General features: G+C 39.5%; 1 protein-coding gene across 2 annotated transcripts, besides 7 other annotated features; it reads left to right on the plus strand.

The window, feature by feature from the left end:
- Positions 515-1,016: an enhancer, noted in NCBI's record as "H3K27ac hESC enhancer chr19:40502115-40502616 (GRCh37/hg19 assembly coordinates)". NCBI's record gives its function as "activates a minimal SCP1, AML or CMV promoter by ChIP-STARR-seq in naive H9 embryonic stem cells {active_cell/tissue: H9 hESC(naive)}" and the evidence as "EXISTENCE:reporter gene assay evidence [ECO:0000049][PMID:30033119]".
- Positions 1,002-1,181: an enhancer, noted in NCBI's record as "active region_14636". NCBI's record gives its function as "activates an Ori minimal core promoter by ATAC-STARR-seq in GM12878 lymphoblastoid cells {active_cell/tissue: GM12878}" and the evidence as "EXISTENCE:reporter gene assay evidence [ECO:0000049][PMID:35858748]".
- Positions 1,002-1,516: a biological region, named in NCBI's record as "H3K27ac hESC enhancer GRCh37_chr19:40502617-40503116".
- Positions 1,017-1,516: an enhancer, noted in NCBI's record as "H3K27ac hESC enhancer chr19:40502617-40503116 (GRCh37/hg19 assembly coordinates)". NCBI's record gives its function as "activates a minimal SCP1, AML or CMV promoter by ChIP-STARR-seq in naive H9 embryonic stem cells {active_cell/tissue: H9 hESC(naive)}" and the evidence as "EXISTENCE:reporter gene assay evidence [ECO:0000049][PMID:30033119]".
- Positions 1,189-1,483: an enhancer, noted in NCBI's record as "tiled region #7932; HepG2 Activating DNase unmatched - State 1:Tss, and K562 Activating DNase unmatched - State 1:Tss". NCBI's record gives its function as "activates a minimal TATA promoter and a strong SV40 promoter by Sharpr-MPRA in HepG2 and K562 cells {active_cell/tissue: HepG2 | K562}" and the evidence as "EXISTENCE:reporter gene assay evidence [ECO:0000049][PMID:27701403]".
- ZNF546 (zinc finger protein 546) lies at positions 1,367-25,345 on the plus strand. Of its 2 annotated transcripts, none has more exons than NM_178544.5 (7): positions 1,367-1,464; positions 2,168-2,222; positions 2,555-2,717; positions 10,403-10,489; positions 11,581-11,707; positions 12,777-12,872; positions 17,972-25,345. In NM_178544.5, the coding sequence occupies exons 3-7, from the start codon at positions 2,634-2,636 to the stop codon at positions 20,086-20,088; spliced, it is 2,511 nt and encodes an 836-aa protein (NP_848639.2). In that variant the 5' UTR covers positions 1,367-1,464; positions 2,168-2,222; positions 2,555-2,633; the 3' UTR covers positions 20,089-25,345. The 2 variants fall into 2 exon arrangements, with proteins under 2 accessions (NP_848639.2, NP_001284692.1); NM_001297763.2 differs by having other exon boundaries at positions 2,555-2,639.
- Positions 2,302-2,401: a silencer, noted in NCBI's record as "silent region_10615". NCBI's record gives its function as "represses an Ori minimal core promoter by ATAC-STARR-seq in GM12878 lymphoblastoid cells {active_cell/tissue: GM12878}" and the evidence as "EXISTENCE:reporter gene assay evidence [ECO:0000049][PMID:35858748]".
- Positions 18,895-20,094: an enhancer, noted in NCBI's record as "P300/CBP strongly-dependent group 1 enhancer chr19:40520495-40521694 (GRCh37/hg19 assembly coordinates)". NCBI's record gives its function as "activates an origin of replication core promoter dependent on BRD2, BRD4, P300/CBP, MED14 and CDK7 cofactors, with strong dependence on P300/CBP, by STARR-seq in HCT116 cells {active_cell/tissue: HCT116}" and the evidence as "EXISTENCE:reporter gene assay evidence [ECO:0000049][PMID:35650434]".
- Positions 25,346-27,272: the final 1,927 nt, after the last annotated feature.

A 27,272-nucleotide genomic window follows, 5' to 3' on the forward strand; every position in this document is an offset into this window, starting at 1 on the left:
GGGCAGGGGTTCTTTGCAACAATGTAAACATCCAGTCCCTCATCAAACTTTCAATTTTTTTTCACGTACTAATTTATATCAGTTTGGAATTATGATTCCCTCTGTTATTTAATGGGTTTTAATCTATAACTAGCATTATTTATTTTGATGCTCAAACCATGTCAAGTTTGGTCAGTGGAAGTCCCTTCAATCTGGTTTCCATGTCCTTTGAACACGTCCCCACCATTCTTTGAGCACTGCCTTACTTTCAAGCACAAGATGTTCCAAGTTCATTCTGAACTTTCCCTTCCCCAGCTCTGGAATCTGCCATTTCTCCATGGAGCCTTGCTCCTTTCAGTGGAGCATGGTATTTAGGAACCAAGGGCTGACTGCCTAATGTGCTTTCCAAGTATAATTTCCTCAGTCCAAGCTTTTCAAATTGATCTGCCAAAGACCCATTGCCAAAGATCCATTGCCAGAATATAAGAGTGGAAGGAAATTCTTAATATTTTTTGAAAGTTACTATTATTTTCATTTTTCTCTTTGTAAAAAATTCATTTAATTCAATATAAAAAGACAAAAATCTTTGGCACATAAATCGCAACTCTCTGATGCAAATGTTTAAATAAAGCTGATACTCCAAGAAGACGCAACATATTCTCTTTATCCCACAGACATATAGGCCTATGGTTGCAAACTTTTATACACACACAGAGTCACAATTCCACTGGCACCCGTGATGTTCCACATCCAGATTTTCCAAATCACACATTCTCATCTTCACATAGCCTTGCCGGCAACCACACGGCATAGTACCACATTGTTACGTCAAGCACAGCCAGTCTACCACAGAGCCTGTCGTCCCATTGACCAAAGTCACAAAAATCACAGCCCCGGGTATTTACTGTGGTTTTCTCCAGTCAGATCCCTTCACTCACTACACACTGACTCACACTCAAATTACACACACGCGGAAACACAACCCGCCAGAGCCAGAGAGGTTCCGTCGGTCCCGCAACCCTCACAGTGCCACACACACGCGCTCACAAGGCAAATACAAATGGCCAGGCACTCATTCTTTACAATACACATATTAAGCGCCTATTATGTACTACACGCCGGGACTACCTCAAGAGGTGAAACAAACAAAATCCTGCCTGGCGGAGCTATCGCCCAGTCCCGCACGCACTCGGCCTCAGGGTCACACTCGGCGGTCCCACGCTCAAGTGGCCCGGCCAGTGGCCCAGAGGCGTCTGTTCTCCTCCTCAGCTTCCTGCGTGGGTTCCTGGTAAGTGAGTCGAACCCGCCGGATGCGCGCGCGCCTGCGCCTCCGCCCAAAAGGATCAGTTTCCGGCTGTGGACTACATTTCCCAGAAGCCCCTTGGGCAGTGTTGCCTGGACCCCAAGGGCCCTTTACATTGCGTTCTTAACGGTTCAGTCACCTTAACCGTTATTATTCACTTGCGGGCGAGAAGTCCGAGCTAGGTGAGGCGGAACGGGACTCTTACGAGTAGGACTGGGGATAGAACTGCCGCCCAAAGTGAGGCGCTCCAGGGCCCAGACCTGGCGTGTCGTGCCCGCAGGGAGCCTCAGGCCTGTGCGTGCTTGGGGAGCGGAGAAGGGAAATTGTGTGACAAAATGTGGCAGACGGTGTATGTGTGTGTGTGCGCGCGACGGGGCGCCTGTCAGGACCGGGTTGGGCGGGTGTGGGTGCGGGTGTGAGGCTGAGACAGGTGCCTGGCTCTCTGGTGTGTGTCACTGACCCTCTACCCTCCTCACGGCCTCGGTGTTTGCACACAGCAGTGTCCCCAAGAGGGAAGTCAAATATCGAGCTCTGGGATGAAGGTTCCCAGCAAGAAGGTACAGACCTGGGTTGGCGATTGGACTTTTGAATTAGAAGTGTCCCTAAAACAGACTCCTGGGACGACAGGTTGGAAGACTGCGCAGTTGGAGCCGCTGTGTGGGCAGCTGCATGTTTCAGAACCACTGCATTCCCATACCTTTGATCTAGAAACCTGGTGTGAGTTCAGAGACAGATCCCAGCCTCACTCTCACACAGCTGTTATGTGCGTGAGGTCAGCACAGATGTGGCGCTGGAGGGGATATTCTAGGTCGGTCTGTGCTCTTAAGAAAGGCCTGCTGTCTCATGATTATTTTTCTTCCCCCATTCTGCTATTCATCAAAACAGGGATCCTGAAAAGGAGGGAACAATTGTTGTAGCAGGTCTAAAAGTTCAGGTCCAGGTAAGTTTATATTTCCTTTTTATTCATAAAATGGAAATCACACATTCTAATCCTCACACAGCCTTGCCTGCACCCAGTCATACGGCGTGGTACCACACTGCTATGTCAAGCACAGCCACAATCTACCACAGAGCCTGTCACCTCATTGCTCACAGTCACAAAAATCACATCCCCAGGTACTTTCTGTAGCTTTCATTTGCATTTTTCCCTTTGAAGAAGTTCATTTGATTCAATCTAAAAAGACTAAATTATTTGTCACATAAATTGCAACTCTCTGGTCTATATCTTTAAGTAAATCTTTAAATAAATGCATAAAATGTTTTTGTTTTTAGGAAATGGAAACATTGCTTTGCTTTTCCTGAATTGTCCAGTGACCTATCCCAGGCCTTCCTTTCCAGTGAACAATGGACCATGCAGGTGGACCCTCCTCTTCACGGGCCTCCAAATGACTTTCTCATTTTTCAAATCATTCCTCTGCACTCACTTTCTATAATGGTAGAGAAATGCATATCCTGGAGTCTAAAGTTAAAACTTTGTTTTATTGAGATTAATGTTTAGGTAGAATCACATCATCCATCTTCTCCAATCTTCTCCAAAGACCTCAGTTTTAAAATATGACAGGATTAGAGATGACCTGACTAGTGTCAGTAAGCAAGTGATAATGGTCGCCTGCTTTTAAGGCTTTTAGAAGTGGGAATGTGATTGGAAGTCCAAGCATAGAAATCTGTGTGAACATGAGCAGGGATTTTTTTCCAAGGAATCCATGAGTTGAGATTTATTTTTATACAGAGTTAGTCATAAGAATAAAAAGTACATATGAGTAAAGTAATAGTCATAGTGATGAAGAATAATACGCAATTTTTTTTTCTTTTTTTGAGAAGGAGTCTCGCTGTGTCACCCAGGCTGGAGTGCAATGGCATGAACTCGGCTTACTGCAGCCTCTGCCTCCTGGGTTCAAGTGATTCTCCTGCCTCAGCCTCCCAGGTAGCTGGGATTACAGGCGCCTGCCACCATGCCTGGCTAATTTTTGTATTTTTAGTCGAGACAGGGTTTCACCACGTTGGCCACGCTGGTCTGGAACTCCTGACCTCAGGTGATTCACTTGCCTTGGCCTCCCAAAGTGCTGGGATTACAGGCATGAACCACCGCACCCAGCCGCAAATTTTAAATTTTATATGAATCTCACTAATATTAGGATTTAAAGACATTTAACAAGCATTATATCTAAATTAACATTTCAACTGATTATTTGCTGGAGAAGTAGAGGAGAACCAAACACTCTTCTGTCTGCTTTGTTCAAATTTTCTTATTCAGTCTGCAGACACTGTTCACCTGGCTTGTGTATTAAGAGAAGAATCTTAACAGTGAAAAGGTCTTGTTGAATTGAAGAAGAATGTTCAAGAACTGGCAGGCATTTATTTATAATGGTCATGCTGTTTTCCTATTGTTTGCATACATGTCAAACCAATTTGCTTCTGATGTGTTAAAACATTTTATTTTATAATTGGATATAGATCTATTGTATACTTCTGGTTATAGAATTAATATTCACCTTTTATAAATTATTTAGTTACTCATTATATTACATAAGGCACTTATAAAGAAGAAAGTTAAAATAGCCCCAGCATCACTATTAACACTTTGGGGAGCTATATTTTAGCAAGATTTTTTTTTTTTTTTGACAGAGTCTCGTTCTGTTGCCCAGGCTGGAGTGCAGTGATGTGATCTTGGCTTACTGCAACCTCCATCTCCCAGGTTCAAGAAATTCTCCTGCCTCAGCCTCCCGAGTAGCTGGGATTACAGGCGCCTGCTACCACGCCCAGCTAATTTTTTGTATTTTTAATAGAGATGGGGTTTCGCCATGTTGGCCAAGCTGGTCTCAAACTCCTGACCTCAGGTGATCCACCCACCTCGGCCTCCCAAAGTGCTGGGATTACAGGTGTGAGCCACCATGCCCGACCTATTTCAGCAAGATTTTTCAGCACACTTGTATGTATGTGTGTGTGTATGTGTGTGCGCACAGCACCTGCACTTTTCTTCCTGCAGAATAGAAATTGCACTAACTGATTATTCAAAGGACACAAGACTTTCCAGCTTCTAGTTAGAAAAACTAATTCTCCCTAACCATAGCTTTCTTATAACTCTGTGCACATAGGGAGAAGAGGAAAACACCAATGAATCCTGCTAAGTTTGATTAACCTTTGAGAAATTTACACCTTTTAGGGTTATATAAACCAATCAAGGATAATTAATATGACATAATTTATCAAGTAAGATAGTTCTTCAGGATTATACTCTTTTTTTAGATTTTTAAGGTTGCTTTTACAGGACATAGCAATACTCTTATCTTGGTTAGGTTTTTTTCAGGGTTCCATTATGCAAATAACATTTTCTAGGACAGATTTATAACAGTAGAAAACAGAATAAGGGTGGGCATGGTGGCTCAAGCCTGTAATCCCAGCACTTTGGGAGGCCCAGGCAGGTGGATCACGAGGTCAGGAGTTCAAGACCAGCCTGGACAAGATGGTGGAACCCCATCTCTACTAAAAATACGAAAATTAGCCGGCTGTGGTGGCATGCGCTTGTAATCCCAGCTGCTTGGGAGGCTGAGGCAGAGAATTGCTTGAACCCAGGAGGTTGCAGTGAGCCGAGATAGCACCACTGCCCTCCAGGCTGGGCGACAGAGTGAGACTCTGTCTCAAAAAAAAAAAAAAAAAAGAAAAAGAAAAAGAAAACAGAATAAGATAGTAACAGCTACAAATATTCATGTAAATCTTTCCATATAGAACAGGAGAACAAGATTGAACCTCATATTAAAATTATCTATTGAATGCCTTATTACAGCAGTTCCCAACCTTTTTGGCACCAGGACTGGTTTCATGGAGGACCGTTTTTTCACAGACAGGGAGAGGGAGATGGTTTCAGGATGATTCAAGCACATTACATTTATTGTGCATTTTATTCCCATTATTATTACATTATAACACGTAATTAAATAATTATACAACTCACCCTAATGTGGAATCAGTGGGAGACCTGAGCTTGTTTTCCTGCAACTAGATGGTCTCATCTTGGGGTGATGGGAGGCAATGACAGATCATCAGGCATTAGATTCTCATAAGGAGCACGCAGCCTAGATCCCTCACATGGTCAGTTCATAATAGGGTTCGCACTCCTATGAAAATCTAATGCTGCAGCTGATCTGACAGGAGGCAGAGATCAAGCGGTTAATGCTAGCAATGGGGAGTAGCTGTAAATACAGATGAAGCTTCCCTTGCTGGCCTGCTGCTCACCTTCTGCTGTGTGGCACAGTTCCTAACAGGCCGTGGTCCAGTGTCAGTCAGTGACCTGGGGGTTGGGGACCCCTGCCTTAATTAGATTATTTTAGCTAGTTTTATGTTGAAGAATGATGTCCCCCCTTTGGTAGTTGCAAGAACAAAAGAGGATATTTCTTTTTTTTTTTTTTAAATGAAGTCTCACTCTGTTGCCCTGGCTGGAGTGCTGTGGCTCAATCTCAGCTCATTGCAACCTCTGCCTCCCAGGTTCAAGTAATTCTTCTGCCCAGCCTCCAGAGTAGCTGGGATTACAGGTACCCACTACCACACCTGGCTAATTTTTGTATTTTTAGTAGAGACGGGGTTTCACCATGTTGGTCAGGCTGGTCTTGAACTCCTGACCTCAGGTGATCCACCCACCTCAGCCTCCCAAAGTGCTGGGATTACAAGTGTGAGCCACCGCGCTCTACCAAGAAGAGATTTCTTGATTATCTTTCTGGGAGTCTGTTTTACGAATGTTGTTAATTAAAAATAATTGCATCTTCAAGGCTCAGCTCTGAAATACTTAAAATATCATTATTAAAAAATGGGCATGAGACTCAAACTTTACTAGAAAAAATGAAATAATATAAAATGATTTTATTTAATAGCAGTGGAACAAAGGACATAATATCCTCTATTTTAATAATACTGGCTAACTTTTATTACGTAATTATGTATCATTAAGTGGGATGTATGTATTATCTCAATCTTCGTGACAACCCTATGAGATAGGTGCTGTTTTTATCCCTAATTTACCAACAAACTAACTGAAAAGTATGTAGCTGTCAGACTAAGATTCACATTCTGAAAATCTGACAACAGAGTTTGTGTTATTAATGACAACGTTATAACCCTGCCCATAATGGCATATGCTCCTTTAATTTGCCTGTATCAGTCAGTAACTCATCATTGATGTCTTCCTCCAAAAATAAATATGGACCAATATAGTTAGTATTAGTAAGGCCTTAGTGTGCCATCATAACTGACCATAGTTTATTTAACCTGCTGCCTACTATAGCTATTAGTATTTTTAATATTTGATTATTATAAGTTGTTATATGATAAATGTCTTATGTATATGTCTTAATATGCTTTAATAGCCACTTGCAAGAAAAAAATGCCAAAAATTGGAATTTTAGTCAAATATCAGACATAAGGGCTCACAGTATACTGAATCTTGTGTTAGTAATCAGAGGAATACAAGAACTGAAAACACATAGGTGTTACTGTACAGCAGAGAGTCTAAAATCAGAATAGACTGAATAAGTATAAGGTAGAAGATAATAAAAAACAGTAAAGAAATTCAGGTCACAGGCCTTGGGAGTTCATAGGAAGGAGATGTCCAGTGCTGTCCAATAGAACTTTCCATGATGATGGATTTGTTCTATGTTTTCCAGTGTGGTAGCTGCTCACCACATGTGGCTAATAAGCACCTGAAATATGGCTAGTGTGACTGGGAAACTAACTTTTTTTTTTTTTTTTGTCGAGATAGAGTCTCACTCTGTCGCCCAGGCTGGAGTACAGTGGCGAGATCTCAGCTCACAGCAGCCTCTGCCTCCCGGGTGGAAGCGATTTTCCTGCCTCAGCTTCCTGATTAGCTGGGACCACAGGCATCAGCCACCATGCCCAGCTAATTTTTGTATTTTTAGTAGAGACAGGGGTTCACTATATTGGCCAGGCTGGTCTCAAACTCCTGACCTCAAAAGATCCGCCCACCTTGGCCTCCCAAAGTCCTGGGATTGCAGGCGTGAGCCGCCGTGCCCGGCCTGAACTTTTAATTTTATTTAAAATTTGATTTAACTTTTTTTTTTTTTTTTTTTTGAGACAGAGTCTCGCTCTGTCGCCCAGGCTGGAGTGCAGTGGTGCAATCTCGGCTCACTGCAAGCTCTGCCTCCCAGGTTCACACCATTCTCCTACCTCAGCCTCCCGAGTAGCTGGGACTACAGGCGCCTGCCACCACGCCTGGCTAATTTTTTTTGTATTTTTAGTAGAGACGGGGTTTCACGTTGTTAGCCAGGATGATCTTGATCTACTGACCTCGTGATCTGCCTGCCTCGGCCTCCCAAAGTGCTGGGATTACAGGCGTGAGCCACCGTGCCCAGCTTAAAATTTGATTTAAATAACCATATTTGTATTGAACAGCACAATTTCATACCTTAAGTTTTTATTGTAATGATTCAAAGTGAGGCTAATGGGTTTTTATTGTTAGATTCAAAAACAAAGTTTTTATTGTTAGATTCAAAGTGAGGCTAATGGGACAAGATTATTCAGCAGCAGTTTGGAGGATATTGTGGCTGAAAGGAAAATTTCAGAGCACAAACTGTCAATACGTTTGTCAGGAGTACATGAAAAGCCACTTCACTGTGACCAGCATTCATATGTATAAGACATTGCAATATATTAGCATACATGGACATATGTGAAAAATCAAAAGAATTGCTTCCAATGTTATGAGCTAAAGGGAAAAAAGACATTCAGTAAAAATATAACAGCTGTTGGCCAGGCACAGTGGCTCATGCCTGCAATACCAGCACTTTGGGAGGCTGAAGAGGGCAGATCACCTGAGGTCAGGAGTTCGAAACCAGCCTGGCCAACATGGCGAAACCCTGTCTCTACTAAAAATACCAAAATTAGCCGGGCGCAGTGGTGGGCGCCTGTAATCCCAGCGACTCGGGAGCCTGAGGCAGGAGAATCACTTGAACCTAGGAGGCGGAGTCTACAGTGAGCTGAGATTGTGTCATTACACTCCAGCCTGGGTGACAGAGTGAGACTCTATCTCAAAAAAATATATATATATAAATATATAAATATATTTATATGTATTTATATATAATATATAAATATATATATAACTATATTAATATATAAATATATATTATATATATAACTATATTAATATATATATATATCAGCTGTTTTTAGATTATCTTAAGCTTTTCCTTCAAGTTGAAGAGAAGATCGTTCAACAAAGGAAAGGCTTTCTCTTATCAAAATGAAAAATAAGTACATATGTATGCCGGTGTGTATATTTTAAATTTTTATTTTATTTTTTTGAGATGAGTCTCACTCCCGTCGCACAGGCTGGACTACAGTGGCACAGTCTCGGCTCACTGCAACCTCCACCTCCTGGGTTCAAGTGATTCTCCTTCCTCAGCCTCCCAAGTAGCTGGGATTACAGGCATGTGCCACCACACCCAGCTAATTTTTGTATTTTTTAGTGGAGATGGGGTTTTGCCATGTTCGCCAGGCTGGTCTCGCACTCCTAACCTCAGGTGATCCAGCCACCTCGGCCTCCCAGCGTGCTAGGATTACAGGCGTGAGCCACCGTGCCCAGCCTAAATTAATTTTTAAAGTTACAGATTATACTTTAAAAATATATCAAGTAATGTCATGCAGCTTGGCAGTGCTGACATATAGATATATACATTTTTAAACTTTTTTCTCTCTCTCAGTTTCTGCCTGTCCTTCGTTCTTTCTTTATGTATGTGTGTGTGTGTGTATGTTTTCACAAATGTAATTATATTGTACATTCTGGGTTTTAACCTTATTTTTTAATTTAGAACATATCTTGGATATTTCCCAAATCCTTTAAATATTTTCTCCAATTTAGTATAGTATTTAATATCTACTTAATATTCTGTTTCATAGATGATCTGTAACTTATCTAACCAGTCAGCTATTGCTGGACTCAGAATGCTGAATTCTACCTCCCTGCATGCATCTTTTTTATTTTTGCTTTTTCCAGTAAGCCTTTTGCACCCCTAACCTGCATGCATCTTTTTTTTTTTTTTTTTTTTTTTTTTTGAGACAGAGTCTTGCTCTGTCGCCCAGGTTGGAGTGCAGTGGCGCGATTTCAGCTCACTGCAACCTCTGCCTCCCGGGTTCAAGCGATTCTCCTGCCTTAGGCTCCTAAGCAGCTGGGATTACAGGCATGTGCCACCATGCCTAGCTAATTTTTTTTGTATTTTTAGTAGAGATGGTTTCACCATGTTGGCCAGGCTGGTTTCGAACTCCTGACCTCAAATGATCTGCCCGCCTTGGTCTCTCAAAGTGCTAGGATTACAGGTGTGAGCCACCGCGCCCGGCCTAACCTGCATGCATCTTAATACACATCATTTGCTTTGGGTAGAGTCCCAAAATTAGGTTTGGATGGTAAAAGTCTCTCACATCCTTCTACATGCCATGTTTTAAGGTCCTACAAATCTGTAGCATTTACACAGTATTCATTTCCCTGTGATGTTGCTCATCTGGCATATTATTAATCTTTTAAGTCTGCCATTCTAATAATTGTCAACTGGTATTTCCTTAATTAGGATCTGCTTCATTGTATTGAAATTTAATAAGTTCGGTGGATGATATGCTGCTATTTTTAGTGAATTGCTCATGCTTAAGTTTCATTTGAAAACATTCTGGGCTTCAGAGGCAAAAGCCAGAGTTGAGAGCAAGACCCTGTCTCCAAAAAAAAAAAAAAGATAGTTTGCTTTATAATTAGAGAAATGTGGATTCAGAACACAGCTCTGCCTCTTACTAACTGTGAATTTGGGCAAGTTACATTATTTTAAGCCCTCATTACCTCATCTGTTGGATGGAGATAAATGCATTGCATGGTTAAATGTTAATATGATAAAGGACCCATCATGCAGAAGATCCTAAAAATAGCTACTTTTGTTGTCATCACCTGGCAACCGTGGGCATGAATTTACACCACCCCAGCCTTGATATTGAGATATCTTCCCCAGTTTATATGCGCAGAATGGTGGGGTTGGAAGTAGAAATGATGGCATAACAGGATCTTATTAACTTAAGTCATTTTAGGAGTTTTGACACACATCTGGTCTCAGAGTCACTTGTTCTTCCCCCCAGCCCCGGTTTCTCTGGATTCTGTGCTTCTCCATGGAGGAAACTCAAGGAGAACTGACAAGTTCTTGTGGTTCTAAAACCATGGCCAATGTAAGTTTGTGTTTTTCTTCCTTGAAATACTGTGTTTTTAAATTCATGTGATCATTGAAGTCTCGTTATCTTGAGACTTCCTTCCTAAGACAACCCTGTTGTGGAACCTGCTCCCTAGTTACTCCCTAGTTACAGTGAAGGATAGTGCCAAATAGCCTAGTGTCTTCCTCATTTGCTCCTGTTTTCTCTTATCTGTGCTCAAACATTGTCTTCCATGTCAGCCTCAGAGGCAGAGGTCAGATCCCATGCATTGAGAGGCTTAGAGGACTAGGCTGGAGTATGATTGGGGCCTGCATATGGTAGTTTCAGGCATCTAGCCAGGGAATTTCCAAGGGATGAATAAGAAAACAAAAGTCAATTTTGTGGTTGAGGAGGTTGTGCTGGTCTCCAGTGACATCAGTGTCATTGTGGATACGTCAGCATCCTCTGGCTTAGGAACAAAGCAAGTATTCCTGAGGTATGGCAGGGGTAGCAGGTAGGAAGATCCTCCAATCCCTAATGATGGCTGGAAATAGGCTCTGATCCCTAATGATGGGTGGAAACAGAACTGGGGAAGACCTTAAACATTTTGGCCAACCTAAATGCCTAAGAATAAAAGAAGAATTAGTCTGCTGTATCTTTAAGATGGATGATATTATTAGCTAGCCAATAAATATACTAACTGAAGACTTTTCTTATGAGGTTATTTTGCATCATGATGAACCAGAGTTTTAACGAAATCACGTAATGTCAGTCAAATCCTGTTTTCTAAGAGAGATTTTAGAGTACTTTTTGGTGAAAAAATTCTTTTTCCAAAAATTTTTTGAAGGGAAGAGAGGATGATGGAACTTGCATTTATTCAGAACTTTAACTGCAGGCACATAATGGGCAATGTGCTTATTTATGCTATTTCACTTAATTTGCATCAACAATATTCTTTAAAAGCGTATGAACACTTTATTTCAGAAATATTAATTTCTTTATTCTTTTACACACATTGCAGGCTTGAGCCCCAGTTTATTTGCTTACTATGTTGCTTCTTTCCTGCAAAGCAGTTTTCCATCTTGAAAATACATTTAATTTTTTTTTAATACATAGGCTTGTCATTTCAGGTATCTTTGGCATTTAGGGATGTGTCCATAGACCTCTCCCAAGAGGAGTGGGAGTGCCTGGACGCTGTGCAGAGGGACTTGTACAAGGATGTGATGTTGGAGAACTACAGCAACCTGGTCTCACTGGGTAAGGTATCTTTCGAAATCGTTTACAATCTGTTTTCTGGAGTATCAGCTTTCTCCACTGTCAAACTTTAGAACTCTGTTTTAAGAGGCTGACTGACACCCCTATTTCTAAAGTCATAGTTTCAGCAGTGTTGGGGTGGAAATGGGCACCTGTGTTAAGCAACTTCACCTTTCTGACCCTCAGTGACATTCACTCCTCCCTCTGACTTTTCCTGTCATTGCTTGCTTTTCTAAATAATTTCCAGGTTTGAGTTGTGTGACATCAGATTTCATATAATGCATATACTCAGAATTCCTATAGCTGTTCTGTGTTAATATCTGACCTTCCTACAAGACAACAGCTAGTCTCAGAATTCTAGTTTTCCTTGATTATCAAAAGAACCTCCATGGATTATACAGTGGTGGATTGAGTTAACAATAGTCATTTAAAACTCAAGCCAACACACCCCATCCTAAAGGAGACATATTCTCCTTAACCTGCTTTGCGGTTGAAAGTTAAAGTCTGTGAATTGACATTTTCTGTTGAAGGAATATCTGAGGAAGAACCTGGAAATATTTTAGGAAACTTAGTATATTTCTCCTAGGAAAATAGTACCAACAACAAAATAATACTATATACTGGGCATATTATATGCCTTTGCATATATTAATTCATTTAATTCTCACCACAGCCCTAAGAAGTCGGTAATATCAGCCCCATTTTGCATTTGATAAAAGTGAATATGTGCAGGGTAACTTTGAAGGTCACACAGCTGGTAGGTGGCAGAAGATTTGAACCCAGGCCATAGGGCTCCAGAGGGTGTGCTCACTGGTCCCCTTTCTATACTGCCGTTAACAGCAAAGCAGACCTTTTCGCTCTCTCACCTTGTCTCTTTAGTCCTGTAATTGTGAGTCCATGTTAACGTGAATATTCTTAGATGGCCTTTTTCTTCTTTACTGTCATGGCATTGTCTAGTACCATTTTCACCTGCAGTTTCTTACAAATGTAACCAAGTCTGAATTGTCATTTCAAGGTTATGGTTGTTTTTGTTTTTTTCTATAACATGTGTCATTTCTTTTCTCATGAGCAGGATATACCATTCCTAAGCCAGATGTGATTACTTTATTGGAGCAAGAGAAAGAGCCCTGGATAGTAATGAGGGAAGGGACAAGGAATTGGTTCACAGGTGAGTGACAGCAAATTAGGCGGGAGGGTGCTATCACAAGTTATGACCCATGATGTCAGGGAGGAGGCACAGCACTGAGTTGTTTGGAAAGCTCCCTTCAAAGGCCTGAGGCCTGTGGAAAAAGGACTGATACCTGGGAAGCATTCAGATTCTCTCTACATTAGCTACCAAAGGAACTTTACCCAATTTGCCATACTCCTTGTTTCTCTTCTCTCGTATTTCTCTCCTCTTTCAAAGTGGGGCTGCTTTCTTTCTTCCCCATTGATGACCATTTTACGTGTGTTTCCAGGCCTCCTTTAACATTTTGATTTATATTCATTTCTCCATTGTCCAAGTTTTATTCATCAAATATTTCCCATTTACCTAACCTAAGCCAGGCACTGTGCTAGAGTTTAGGCACTACTGATAGACACTCTTGTCACAGAGATGTTGATATTATAGTAAGGGAAACATGTTGTCAATACGTAAACAGATAATAATCAAGTTTTCATATGTGTTGTGAAGAAAGTTAAGTAGAGTAAGGAGCTAGAGTGTTGGGGAGTTAGTAGGGCTAATTTAGATAAGATCAGGAAAAGGCCATTTTGAGGTGATGATATTTGAACCAGAGACATAAAGTAAGGTCTCAGGCCATGTGAGTATTGAGGAAGAACATTACAAGCAGAAAAAGCTGCAAGTGCAAAGGTTCTGAGATGAAGAACCATCTGTGTTTATTCCCAAAGTAAATTATGCCACCTGATGTGAACATTCTTGTACAATTGTTTTTGTGTTCAGATGTTTTCATTTCTCTTGGGTTTTCATTTTTCTTGGGAATATATGGAAGTGGAATTTCTGGGTCATAGGACAAGTGTATTTTCTTAATCATATTTATTGAGGTATAATTTATATAGTATAAAATGTACTCATTTTAAGTGTCAATTTTTATAACATTTTAAAACAGTTTTATTGACATATAATTAGCATACAATAAACTGCACACATTTAAAGTATAAAATTTGCTAAGTTGCCCTGTATATTGTGAAACCATTTCAAAATCAAAATAATAAACATATCCATCACCTCCAAAAGAAATCCCTCCCTCATGTCCCTCTCTACCCACTGCCCAGGTAAGCACTGATCATCTCTCTGTCACTATAACTTAGTTTTCATTTTCTAGAATTTTGTATAATGGAATTATATGGTGATTTTTTTCTTCCTTTTTTAAAAATATGGTGATTTTTAAAATTTAGCTTCATTCACTCAGCAAAATTATTTTGAGATTCATCCATGTTGCTATATGTATCAGTACTTCATTTCTTTTCATTGTTGAGTAGTATTCCATTGTATGGATGTACCACAATTTACTTATCCATTTATGTATAAGGATGGACATTGAGTTATTTCCAGTGTTTGGCTATTACAGATAAAGCTACTGGAAACTTTCATGTAAAATTCTTGGTATAGACTTATGCTTTCATTTATCTTGGGTAACTGTCTGGGGTAGAATGGGTAGATCATATGATAAATATATGTCTATTTTTTAAGAAACTGCCACACTGTGTTTGAAAGTGGTTGTATCAGCCAGTAGCAGTGGCTTATGCCTGTAATCCCAGCACTTTGGGAGGCCGAGACAGGTGGATCACTGGAGGTCAGGAGTTCAAGACCAGCCTGGCCAACAAGGTGAAACTTCATCTTTACTAAAAATACAAAAATTAGCCAGGCATAGTGACAGGCATCTGTAATCCCAGCTACTTGGGAGGCTGAGGCAGGAGAATCACTTGAACCCTGGAGGCAGAGGTTGCAGTGAGCCGAGATTGTGCCACTGCACTCCAGCCTGGGTGACAGACCAAGATAATGTCTGAAAAAAAAAAAAAAAGAAGAAGAAAGTGGTTGTATCTTTTTACTTTCCCAGCAGAAGTTTATGAAAATTCCAGTTCTTCGACATTCTTGTTAGCACTTTGGTATGGTCAGTCTTTTAAATTTTAGCTTTGCTAATAGGTGAGTAATGGTATCTCACTGTGGTTTTAATTTTCATTTTCCTAATGCCTAATAATCCTGAGCAACTTTTTATTCTTAATTTATCATCCATATATCTTCTTTGGTGAAGCATCTATTACAGTCTTCTGCTCATTCTCTTTGCTTCTTTCTTTCTTTTTTTTGAAACAGAGTCTTGCTCTGTTGCCCAGGCTGGAATGCAGTGGTGCGACCTCGGCTCACTGCAACCTCCGCCTCCTGGGTACAAGCAATTCTCCTGCCTTAGCCTCCTGAGTAGCTGGGACCACAGGCATGTGCCACCATGCCCAGCTAATTTTTGTATTTTTAGTAGAGATGGGGTTTCACCACATTGGCCAGGCTGGTCTCGAACTCCTGACCTCAGATCCACCTGCCTCAGCCTCCCAAAGTGCTGGGCTTACAGGCGTGAGCCACTATACCTGGCCTTCTGCCCATTTTCTAATTGCATTGGTTGTTTGCTAATTATTGGGTTTTGAGAGTCCCTTATATATTCTGGATGTAAGTCCTTTATCAAATGTATGATCTGTAAACTCTTAACAGTGTCTTCTGAATAGCATAAGCTCTTAATTTGATTAAGTTAATTTATCACATTTTTCTCTTATGGATTGTCCTTTCAGTCATATTTAAGAAATCTTTGCCCAATATAAAAAGTACAAAAATTTTCTGTTTTCTTCTAATTTTTTTTTTTTTTGACAGAGTCTCGCTCTGTCACCCAGGCTGGAGTGCAGTGGCACAATCTCGGCTCACTGCAACCTCCACCTCCCGGGTTCAAGCAATTCTTCTGCCTCAGCCTCCCGAGTAGCTAGGACTACAGGTACACGCCACCACACCCAGCTAATTTTTGTATTTTTAGTAGAGACAGGGTTTCACCATATTGGCCAGGCTGGTCTCAAACTCCTGACCTCATGATCTGCCCACCTTAGCTTTTCAAAGTGCTGGGATTACAGGCGTGAGCCACTGCCCCCAGCTTTTCTAGAAATTTTATGGTTTTAGATTTTTACATTTGTATACCTATTGTACACAAACTCTTCCAGAAACTTTAAGATAAGGGAATACTTCCAAACTCACTCTTCAAGTCCAGCATTACCCTGATACCAAAACCAGACAAAGGCATTATAAGAAAAGAAATCTATAAGTCAGTATCTTTCATGTACACAAATGCAAAAATTCTAGACTAAGTTTTAGCCATTTGAATCCAACAATTTATGAAAAGAATAGTAGTTACTGGCCATTCTTGGCATTCCTTGGCTTGCAGACGCATCACTGCAGTCTCTGCCTCCATCTTCATGGCACCCTCTCTTGATCTCCCTATGCCTCGCTCTTATAAGTACACCTGTTATTGGATTTAGGGCCCACCCTTTTTCCATATTAGGTCACATTCACAGGCACTGGGAGTTAGGAACATGTCTTTTCTGGGGGCCACAATTCAACCTACTACATCTGAGAATAAAGGCGTTTATTTTTCTCCTTTCTAAAGCCTGTGTTCTTCACCTTGCCTTACTCTACTAGCCAGGACCTGCAGTGTAATTCTTGACTAGCAATGAGTTTGAGGATCTGTGAATGAGTAATGATAAAACAACTGATGCTCACCAAATAAAATATCTCAGTACTTGAGTTGGGACAGAGACAAAGAGAAGGAACAGTAGCCACACACACAGGGCAAATGTAAACAGTTTTGGAGATGCCTAATGTTCAAGGTAACAATAGGTAATTGGAAAATGATGAAATACAAAAATGACTTTTCCATTTATACTTTTGATTGAGCAATTTTGGATGTATCTTTGTTCCCTTTCAGAAGGGAAGTGATCCAGGAAAGAGCATATTTAATTGCTGTACTAGGATGAGATTGGAATCAGGGAGATATATTCATAACTATGTTGTAATTTGGGGAAATTAAGTTATTATACTTAGCTGCCCTCTCAGTGACTTGTTTGTAATATTTACAGAGGTGGTTTGCAGAGGTCTTCCAAATAAGAAAGGGGTTTTTATCAATGGTAATATGTTTGGGTTTTATTCTAGGGGGAACGAGAAACTCTATTCTAAAGGGAAAAGAATTAGGTACAGATTTTCAAAATGATCTCCATCAAAGCCATTTGATGAAAAAGATTTTAAATGCACATATCCAGGACTTGCTCCTATAGATTTTGATTTTGTCTGGTTTGGTGCCTGAAGAACAGTATATGTAAGAAATTTCCCTAAATCCATCCTAAATAAGCGGATCACTGATTTACCCTATTATCCTATTCACCTATTTTACCATTCTTTTTTTTTTTTTTTGAGACAGAGTCTCGCTTTGTCACCCAGCCTGGAGTGCAGTGGCACAATCTTGGCTCACTGCAAGCTCCACCTCCTGGGTTCACGCCATTCTCCTGCCTCAGCCTCCCGAGTAGCTGGGACTACAGGCACCCGCCACCACGCCTGGCTAATTTTTTGTATTTTTAGTAGAGACGGGGTTTCACCATGTTAGCCGGGATGGTCTCGATCTCCTGACTTCATGATCCACCTGCCTCAGCCTCCCAAAGTGCTGGGATTACAGGCACGAGCCACCGCACCCGGCCTATTTTACAATTCTTAAAAGTCACATCATTTTCTGAGGTATTTTGCCTTCTTTTAAATTGCACTACAATAATTTAGAGTTCTCTAAGCCAGGAACCAGCAAACTATAGCCCATGAGCCAAATAGCTCACTGCCTGTTTTTGCATGGCTCTTAAGTTACAACTGTTTTTTCCATTTTTTTAATGGTTGAAAAAATCAAGATTTTGTTTCATGTAAACACTTTTTGAAATTTAAATTTCAGTGTCCATAAGTCAAGTGTTATTATAACACAGCCACACTTATTATCATCTGTGGCTACTTTTGTGCTGTAATAACAGAGCTAAGTAATTGTGACAGAGACCATATGCCTCCCAAGGCCTAACACCTTCACTATCTGGTCTTTTAAAGAAGAAGTTTGTTGAATCCTGCTCTAAACCATTTATTTCTAATGTATGTTATTTCTGTTTATCTTTTATTTCTACTATGAGGTACAACCCCCATCCCTGCCCCAACACAGAAAAATAGCATTATAGCATTTGTTTACTCTTTGCTTTTTTTTTTTTTTTTTTTTGCAGATTTGGAATACAAGTATATTACCAAGAATTTGCTTTCAGAAAAGAATGTTTGCAAAATCTATTTATCTCAATTGCAGACAGGGGAAAAAAGTAAAAACACCATCCATGAGGACACCATTTTCAGAAATGGTTTGCAGTGTAAACATGAATTTGAGAGACAAGAGAGACATCAGATGGGATGCGTTAGTCAAATGCTAATCCAAAAACAAATATCTCATCCTCTACATCCAAAAATTCATGCTAGAGAGAAATCATATGAATGTAAGGAATGTAGAAAGGCCTTTAGACAACAGTCATACCTTATTCAACATCTGAGAATTCACACTGGTGAGAGACCCTATAAATGTATGGAATGTGGAAAGGCCTTTTGTCGAGTGGGAGACCTTAGAGTACATCACACAATCCATGCTGGGGAGAGACCCTATGAATGTAAAGAATGTGGGAAGGCCTTTAGACTTCATTATCACCTTACTGAACATCAGAGAATACATTCTGGTGTGAAACCCTACGAGTGTAAGGAATGTGGGAAAGCCTTTAGTCGTGTTAGAGACCTTAGAGTACATCAGACAATTCATGCTGGAGAGAGACCTTATGAATGTAAAGAATGTGGGAAGGCCTTTAGACTTCATTATCAACTAACTGAACATCAAAGAATTCATACTGGTGAGAGGCCTTATGAATGTAAGGTTTGTGGCAAGACCTTTAGGGTACAACGACATATTAGTCAACATCAGAAAATTCATACTGGTGTCAAACCCTATAAATGTAATGAATGTGGGAAGGCCTTTAGTCATGGCTCATACCTTGTTCAACATCAGAAAATTCATACTGGTGAAAAACCCTACGAATGTAAAGAATGTGGTAAGTCCTTTAGTTTTCATGCAGAACTTGCTCGACATCGTAGAATTCATACTGGTGAGAAACCCTATGAATGTAGAGAATGTGGAAAAGCCTTTCGTCTTCAAACGGAACTTACTCGGCATCATAGAACTCATACTGGTGAGAAACCCTATGAATGTAAGGAATGTGGGAAGGCCTTTATTTGTGGTTATCAACTTACTTTACATCTGAGAACTCACACCGGTGAGATTCCCTATGAATGTAAGGAATGTGGAAAAACCTTCAGTAGTCGCTATCATCTCACTCAACACTACAGAATTCATACTGGTGAGAAACCCTACATATGTAACGAATGTGGAAAAGCCTTTCGTCTTCAAGGAGAACTTACCCGACATCACAGAATTCATACATGTGAGAAACCCTATGAATGTAAGGAATGTGGGAAGGCTTTTATTCATAGCAATCAATTTATTTCACACCAGCGAATTCACACCAGTGAGAGCACCTACATATGTAAAGAATGTGGGAAGATTTTTAGTCGTCGCTATAATCTTACTCAACATTTTAAAATTCATACTGGTGAAAAACCCTACATATGTAATGAATGTGGGAAAGCCTTTCGATTTCAAACAGAACTTACTCAGCATCACAGAATTCATACTGGTGAAAAACCCTATAAATGTACAGAATGTGGGAAGGCCTTTATTCGTAGCACTCATCTCACGCAACATCACAGAATTCATACTGGTGAGAAACCCTACGAATGTACGGAATGTGGGAAGACGTTTAGTCGGCACTATCATCTTACTCAACATCACAGAGGCCATACTGGTGAGAAGCCCTACATATGTAATGAATGTGGGAATGCTTTTATTTGCAGTTATCGACTTACATTACATCAAAGAATTCACACTGGTGAGCTTCCATATGAATGTAAGGAATGTGGAAAGACCTTTAGTCGTCGGTATCATCTTACTCAACATTTTAGACTTCATACTGGTGAGAAACCTTATAGCTGTAAAGAATGTGGGAATGCCTTTCGTCTTCAAGCAGAACTTACTCGACATCACATAGTTCACACGGGTGAGAAACCCTATAAATGTAAAGAATGTGGGAAAGCCTTCAGTGTTAATTCAGAACTTACTCGACATCACAGAATTCATACTGGTGAAAAACCCTATCAATGTAAAGAATGTGGAAAAGCCTTTATTCGTAGTGATCAACTTACTTTACATCAGAGAAATCATATTAGTGAGGAAGTCCTATGCATAATGTAAAGAGAATACGATGGCCTTTAGAAAATGCCCTTTAGCAGAGAATTTGTAATTTAAGAAATTTTCTGTTTGTTACGGAACATGTGGGAATCCCTTTTACTTCATGCTCACAATTTATCAGAAATTATTTCGTATGTTAAAGAGTCGAAAGACTATAGCATCACTCAGTCCCTGTTAGACTTTAGAAGATTGATACTGATGCACTGCATCCCAAACCATCAAGGGCCTTTTCCCCTACAAACTGTTGTTGAACAGTGCTTCTCTAAAATGCAATAATAATGGGCCAGGTGAAGTGGCTCACACCTGTAATCCCAGCACTGTGGAAAGACAGGAGTTCGAAACCAGCCTGGGCAACATAGTGAGACCCTGCCTCATGGCTTTAGTGAGCCATGATTGTGCCACTGCACTCCAGCTTGGTGACAGAGTGAGATCCTGTCTCTAAATAAATAAATAAAATGCGGGCCAGGCACAGTGGCTCACACCTGTAATCCCAGCACTATGGGAGGCCCAGGTGAGCAGATCACCTGAGGTCAGGAGTTCAAGACCAGCCTGGCCAACATGGTGAAACCCCTTCTCTACTAAAATACACAAATTAGCTAGGCATTGTGGGGGGTGCCTGTAATCCCAGCTACTCAGGAGGCTGAGGCAGGAAAATTGCATGAACCTAAGTGGCAGAGGTTGCAGTGAGCTGAGATCGCACCACTGCACTCTAGCTTGGGCAACAGAGCAAGACTCTGTCTCTTAAATAAATAAATAAATAGATTACCAGAAAAATGAAAAGAAAAAAACAGACATACAAAATAAAAGCCCCAGTTTTTTATTATGGTATTTAACTGAGTTAACTCTGTCAGATTGCTGCAAACATTTCTAAATACTTGCTCTTGGTATCTATAACTTTTGCAGAGACCAGAAGCAAACAATTTGTGGGCCAGTGTCAACACATGGACCACACTTTATATAGCACTGTAACGGAAAATGATTCTGTTAATGTAATGAACATGGGAAAGACCAGCCTTGGCCTATCTTTATGATATATATAAATAATATAATTCTCATAATTCCACCTCTGCCTATGTGGTGTTTGGCAAAACATGCCCCTGTGCCTTGGTTTTTAAAATGGTAATAACAGTACCACCTAATAGTATTTTTGTGAGGATGAAATGCTAATAAAAGATAAAACCTTTAAAAGAGTATTTGGCACACAGCATTTTATCAATAAATATTGCTTTATTTTTTTCATTGGGGATACATTTAGTACATTCATGTGAGAGGAAGGCCCTGTGGGTGTAAGAAATTTGTAAAAACTGTCCATTACCTTTCACTCCTTATTTAGATTGGAATAATTAACTGGAGATAATATCCAGTAAAATAGATTAAACTTCCATTTATAAAGTCAGAACCTATCTCTGAAAATTAATGTGAGAAAGAAATCTCTAGATTTGATGGGTGTGAAGATTATGAGAGTAAAGTTTTGAAGACTCAGGGATAGCTGTAATGCTTTTTTCTTTTTATAACCCAAAAAGCAGGTATGTCAGTCGCTTTTTCTGCCCACAATGATAAATTAAAAACAGCCACTATCCATTTGGAAAACTTAAAAGAATAATGAACAGTTATGTTCTATCTAGATTCAGCAATTGTTAATATGTTGTCACATTTGGTTTGCTTATACATAATATTTACATATTTTGCTGTAGTATTTGAGTATAAATTGCAGATACTATAACACATCACATCTAAGAATAAAGGCTGCCTCCTACTTAATTGCTATATAACAATTGTCCAACCTGTCTGTGCCCCAGGGCAGCTTTGAATGCAGTCCAACAGAAATTTGTAAGCTGTCTTAAAACATGAGATTTTTTTTGTGATTTTTTTTAAGCTCATCCGCCATTGTTAGCACATTTTATGTGTAGCCCAAGATAATTCTTCTTCCAGTGTAACCCAGGGAAGCCAAAAGATTTGACCCCCAGTAACTTCACACCTAAGGAGATTAGCAATAATTCCATAATCTGTAATATTCAGTCTGTGTTCATATTCTCAGTTGTGTTCATTCTTTTCATTTGTGTAAACAATGCTTTTCATAGGTTATTTTTAAATTCAGGAACCAAATTCATGAATTACATTTGTGCATTGTTCGTCTCTTTTAAAGTAAGAATGGCCCTTCCCCCCACAACTTTATTGCAACATTGACTTTTTTTTTTTTTTTTTTTTTTTTTTTTTGAGATGGAGTCTCTGTCGCCCAGGCTGGAGTGCAGTGGTGCGATCTTGGCTCACTGCAAGCTCCGCCTCCCGGGTTCAGGCAATTCTGCCTCAGCCTCCCCAGTAGCTGGGACTACAGGCGCCTTCAACCATGCCCGGCTAATTTTTTGTATTTTTAGTAGAGACGGGGTTTCACCATGTTAGCCAGGACGGTCTCGATCTCCTGACCTGGTGATCTGCCCGCCTCAGCCTCCCAAAGTGCTGGGATTACAGGCATGAGCCACCGCACCCGGCCTTCCCAAAGTATTTTTAAATGTGCTTTTTTATCCCCAGTATTTCCCATTAACTGGAATTTGGGATTAGAGACCCAATTAGGGACAGATTAAATATTTTGGCAAGAATACTTAATGGGAGAAATTTTGTATTTCAATTTGTAACCCATTAGGTGGCATACAATGTCATTATACCACTATGGTATCCTTAGTTCATTCACTTGGTGTAGCAGAACATACATTCCAAAGATGGCCACACCAATATATCCCATTCTGCATGTTCATCTTACAATGTGATACCAACACTCCCCAAGAGGTAGAGCTCATGGTCCTTCCTTTTGAATCTGGCCAGGTGGGCCTGTGTTTATGGCAGGAATAACACTGTGATTTCCACGACTAAGTCATAAAAGGCAATACAGCTTCTGCCTGACCCACTTGGGATGAAGCCCAGCCACCATGCTATGAAGATGCCAAGTAATCACATAGAAAAGCTAAGTAAAGCTGTCCTGATTACAGCTGTAATTGAGGTAACAGCCGGGATCCAGCACCAAGTGTATGAGGGTATGAGCCTTCAGATGATTCTAACCCTTAGCCTTCAGGCTATCCTAGCTGGTGCTAAGTGGAGCAGAGAAAAGCTTTCCCCCATGAGCCTGCCCAAATTGCAGATTTACGTTTAAAATATGGCCTGTTTTAAGCCACTAAGTTTTGGAGTAGTTTGCCACACAGCGATAGGTAACTGAAATACTTGCTTCATATGGTAATCACCAGGTTTCTCTGTTGTAGAGCTAAATATTTCTTTTAATTTAGTAAACGATCTGTAGAGTAGTACTTTGGCATTTCGGAAATTTAAAATCTCCAATAATATAATGACACTAGATCAAAAAGAAAATGAAACCATAAAGGACAATTTAGAAATGAATGGTAAGATCAGAATTTGTGAATGTGGCCAAACCTGTGCTCAGTGAAAAATCAGTAACCTGTTAATATATTCAGGAAACAAATATTGAGGGCCAGCACTTTGTTTCTCCTGCTCACCACTCTACTCCCAGTGACTTAATACTGTCTCTTTAACATAGTAATCACTTATAAAACTGTTAAAAGAATGAAGAAGCATTAAACTCAAGAAACTAAGGGAAAAATAAGTCAATATAAGAAAGAAGGGAGGATCATTAAAAGGAGTTAATGAATTTGAAAATAAAATAGACTTATTAAGGCTTTGTGAAAAAATATTAATACTTGATTTTAGTATAGCTAATCAAAGGAAAAAGATAATTACAGCATTGTGAATGAGAATTGGATGTAAGTACAGATGGAGGAGATATTTTTTGTTTTATTGAAAATTTCAAGGAGGAAGTAATATCAAAATTTCACTAGCTCTTTCTACACTGATATTATAATCCTGATAATACAACAGATGAGGATAGTTCTTAAAAGGCAAAAATGTAGGTGAGTCATTACGAAGAAAGCAGAAATTCTAAACCATCAGCACATTCATTCAAAAACCTAGTAAAGCAATTAAGCAAAATAATTTGTTTACTTGGACTGTCCAGGGATAGATCTGTTCTAGTTTTCCAAATTAATGATGGGAAAGGAAGAGCTGATCCAGTCCAAGTATCTTCAAGATCCATGTTCTCAGTTTTTCTTAGCTTTAAATGGCCAAATTGTGGCTTAGATTGGATATGATAATTTCCTCAATGCTTAACACTGAGCACAATTTTTCACATATTTGAAATCAAGGTGTATCTTACAATTTATGGCATCTGACAATACTTCCAACCAGGTGGCAGTCATCAAGCAGTTTTGTGAAAAGCCTTCCCGGTAAGAATACAAAAGCATCTGCACCAAAATATATAGATTTAATGGCATGTAGGGGTTTGCGTGAATATATACAGTTGAAATTCAATTCTTCCTTAAAAATAATTGTAACTCATTTCTTTAAGACTACCATACTACCACTTTCCTCAACTTGGACTAATGTCCATTGTCAACCAAAATGTCTGTGATCTCATGGATCCATTATGATTTGCAACTCCAGGTCCATTTTATGCAAATAAGACAGCCATAATATATCATTGTACAAGTCATTTACTATCTAATTATATCATTGCTCAACATTTGCAAATTATTTTTACAAATAACAATAATTGGATGTAACAAAAAGCAGAGTATTTTGAGACGTATATTAATGCAAAATATTGTTAATGTATCAGTGGATTGTTCCTCCAAAGTACCAGTGCCTTAACACAACATATCTAAAAGAACATCTCTGGGAACAGTAGTACTTAATGGCAACTTGAGAATTGGTTTGTGGGCACACAGCCTTGTGAAGTTTTGAATACTAAATCCCTTTTTTAAAAAAGTGCTTATTATCAGGCTATCAATCAAAAGATTTGAGTCTTTCAGTAAAGAAAATTTGCTTAATTTTATCTAGTGCATGATAAACTTTACTAAGGAAGTCTCATTCAGAATATCTAATATTTTGGATGTGAGCCCACACTGGAAATGCCATAACCAAAAAAGAGTGACCCTAAAGATAGAATATTCAGATCTAATGGCAGATGCTTAGCTATGCTGGGAAAGGAAGTGAATTGTATATTGCTCTGCTGCTCACATATTCCTCTGCAATAAATTGCTGGCCCAGTTTAGTTTTTATATACTCACTACTATACTAATGAGGATGGCTCAATTTTTTATTTGAACGTACTATAATGAATTTAAACTTTCATTGGTATTTATGTTTTAACAGGTTTTCACTATTTCAAATATACTTCAATAAATATCCTTGTCTGTGATCATTGGTTTATGTGAATTGGAATTTCAGTAGCTGTATATACATGGAAGTACAATTGCTCATACATCATACACTCTTTCAGTTATGTTAGATAATACTAAATCAACCATGGGTTCTGTATACCCTACTAGATATTTCCAAATTGTTCTCTTAGACTCCTGAGAACTGGTAAATTGAGTGCTATAGCTTCAGTTTAGGTATGTTTTTGTATGTATTCCTAAATTTTGACTTAAGCCATTTTTCAAATGTATTTCTTGGCCTATCATCATTCCTTTACTTTGACTTTCATATTCTTGGCTTTCTCCATTATTTTTGTCTTGTTTTTTTCTTCCCTCTAATTGACTTGAATGTCATTCTGGATACTTTGCTATGTTGATGCAGTATTTTCCACCACATGCATATAGTCTGACCATGCATTCTATCTTTATGAGACATTTTAAGATTTATAGGTTATCAGTTATGTAATCTTTGCAGATTACACAAATAAAATTTTATTTTCCAGTATTTATATTTATTTTTCTTATTGCAATAGCTAGAATCTTCAGAACACAGTTGAATATTATGGTAGTAGGTATCTTTTGTTTCCAAATTTAATGGAATATTTCCCAACATTTTTTTCTTTGGTCCTATGTTTCCTCAAGAACCTACATTTAATCATTTACTATAATATTCACTCTTCATTTGGGGATAAATTCTCTGCTGACTTTAAATTTCCTTCAATATATGTAGGGGTAGAGGGAGGATGCCTACTTTTGTAGTGATTGTTAATTTAAAAACTGCTGAATTTTTTCCAAGGCCATTTTGTTATCTATTTTAATTTTATGTTTTTCTCCTTAAATTTATTGATGTATTGATTTGTACTTATGACTTTATTAAATTTTAAACATTTCTTGTAATATGCTACAATTTTTGTCATACTGCTAGAGTCCATTTGGTGATATTTTAATTAGAACTTTTTCATCTATAGTCAAGGCAGTATTATAGTTTCTTTTTATTTTATTGATAAGATTTTAGAGTTGTAATGATCTGTTCTTTAACACCTAGAAACAATTTGTCCTTAAAGTATTTACATTTTTGTATCTTGATATTACATTTTATGATTTGCTAAATTCACTTAGCTTTAGCAGGGTTTTTTGTTTTTTTTTTTTGAGACGGAGTCTTGGTCTGTCGCCCAGGCTGGAGTGCAGTGGCGCAATCTCGGCTCACTGCAAGCTCCGCCTCCCGGGTTCACGCCATTCTCCTGCCTCAGCCTCCCGAGTAGCTGGGACTACAGGCACGTGCCACCACGCCTGGCTAATTTTTTGTATTTTTAGTGGAGACGGGGTTTCACTGTGTTAGCCAGGATGATCTCGATCTCCTGACCTCGTGACCCACCCGCCTCAGCCTCCCAAAGTGCTGAGATTACAGGCGTGAGCCACCGCGCCTGGCCTAGCAGGGTTTATTTTTTATAAATTACTTAGAATTTTCTATAAACGCAATCAGGACATCTGTCAAGACAGTTCCTTTTAATTTATATTTCCTTTATTTGCCATACTGCACAGGCTAGGGCATTCTGTAGAGTGTTGAATGGAAATGTTCAAAGCAAGGCTGGGCGCAGTGGCTCACGCCTGTTATCCCAACACTTTGGGAGTCTGAGGCAGTTGGATCACCTGAGGTCAGGAGTTCGAGACAAACCTGGCCAACATGGCGAAACCCCATCTCTACTAAAAATACAAAAATTAGCTGGGTGTGGTGGTGCACCTGTGATCCCAGCTACTCGGGAGGCTGAGGCAGGAGAATCACTTGAACCCTGGAGGTGGAGGTTACAGTGAGCCAAGATCGTGCCACTGCACTCCAGCCTGGGCAACAGAGCAAGACGCTGTCTTAAAAAAAAAAATTATCAGAGCAGACATCCTTACCTTGAGTCTGACTTTAGTGAAAAAGCAGTC

The sequence above is a fragment of the Homo sapiens genome, chromosome 19, assembly GCF_000001405.40.
Source record: "Homo sapiens chromosome 19, GRCh38.p14 Primary Assembly".
NCBI classification, from domain to species: domain Eukaryota; kingdom Metazoa; phylum Chordata; class Mammalia; order Primates; family Hominidae; genus Homo; species Homo sapiens.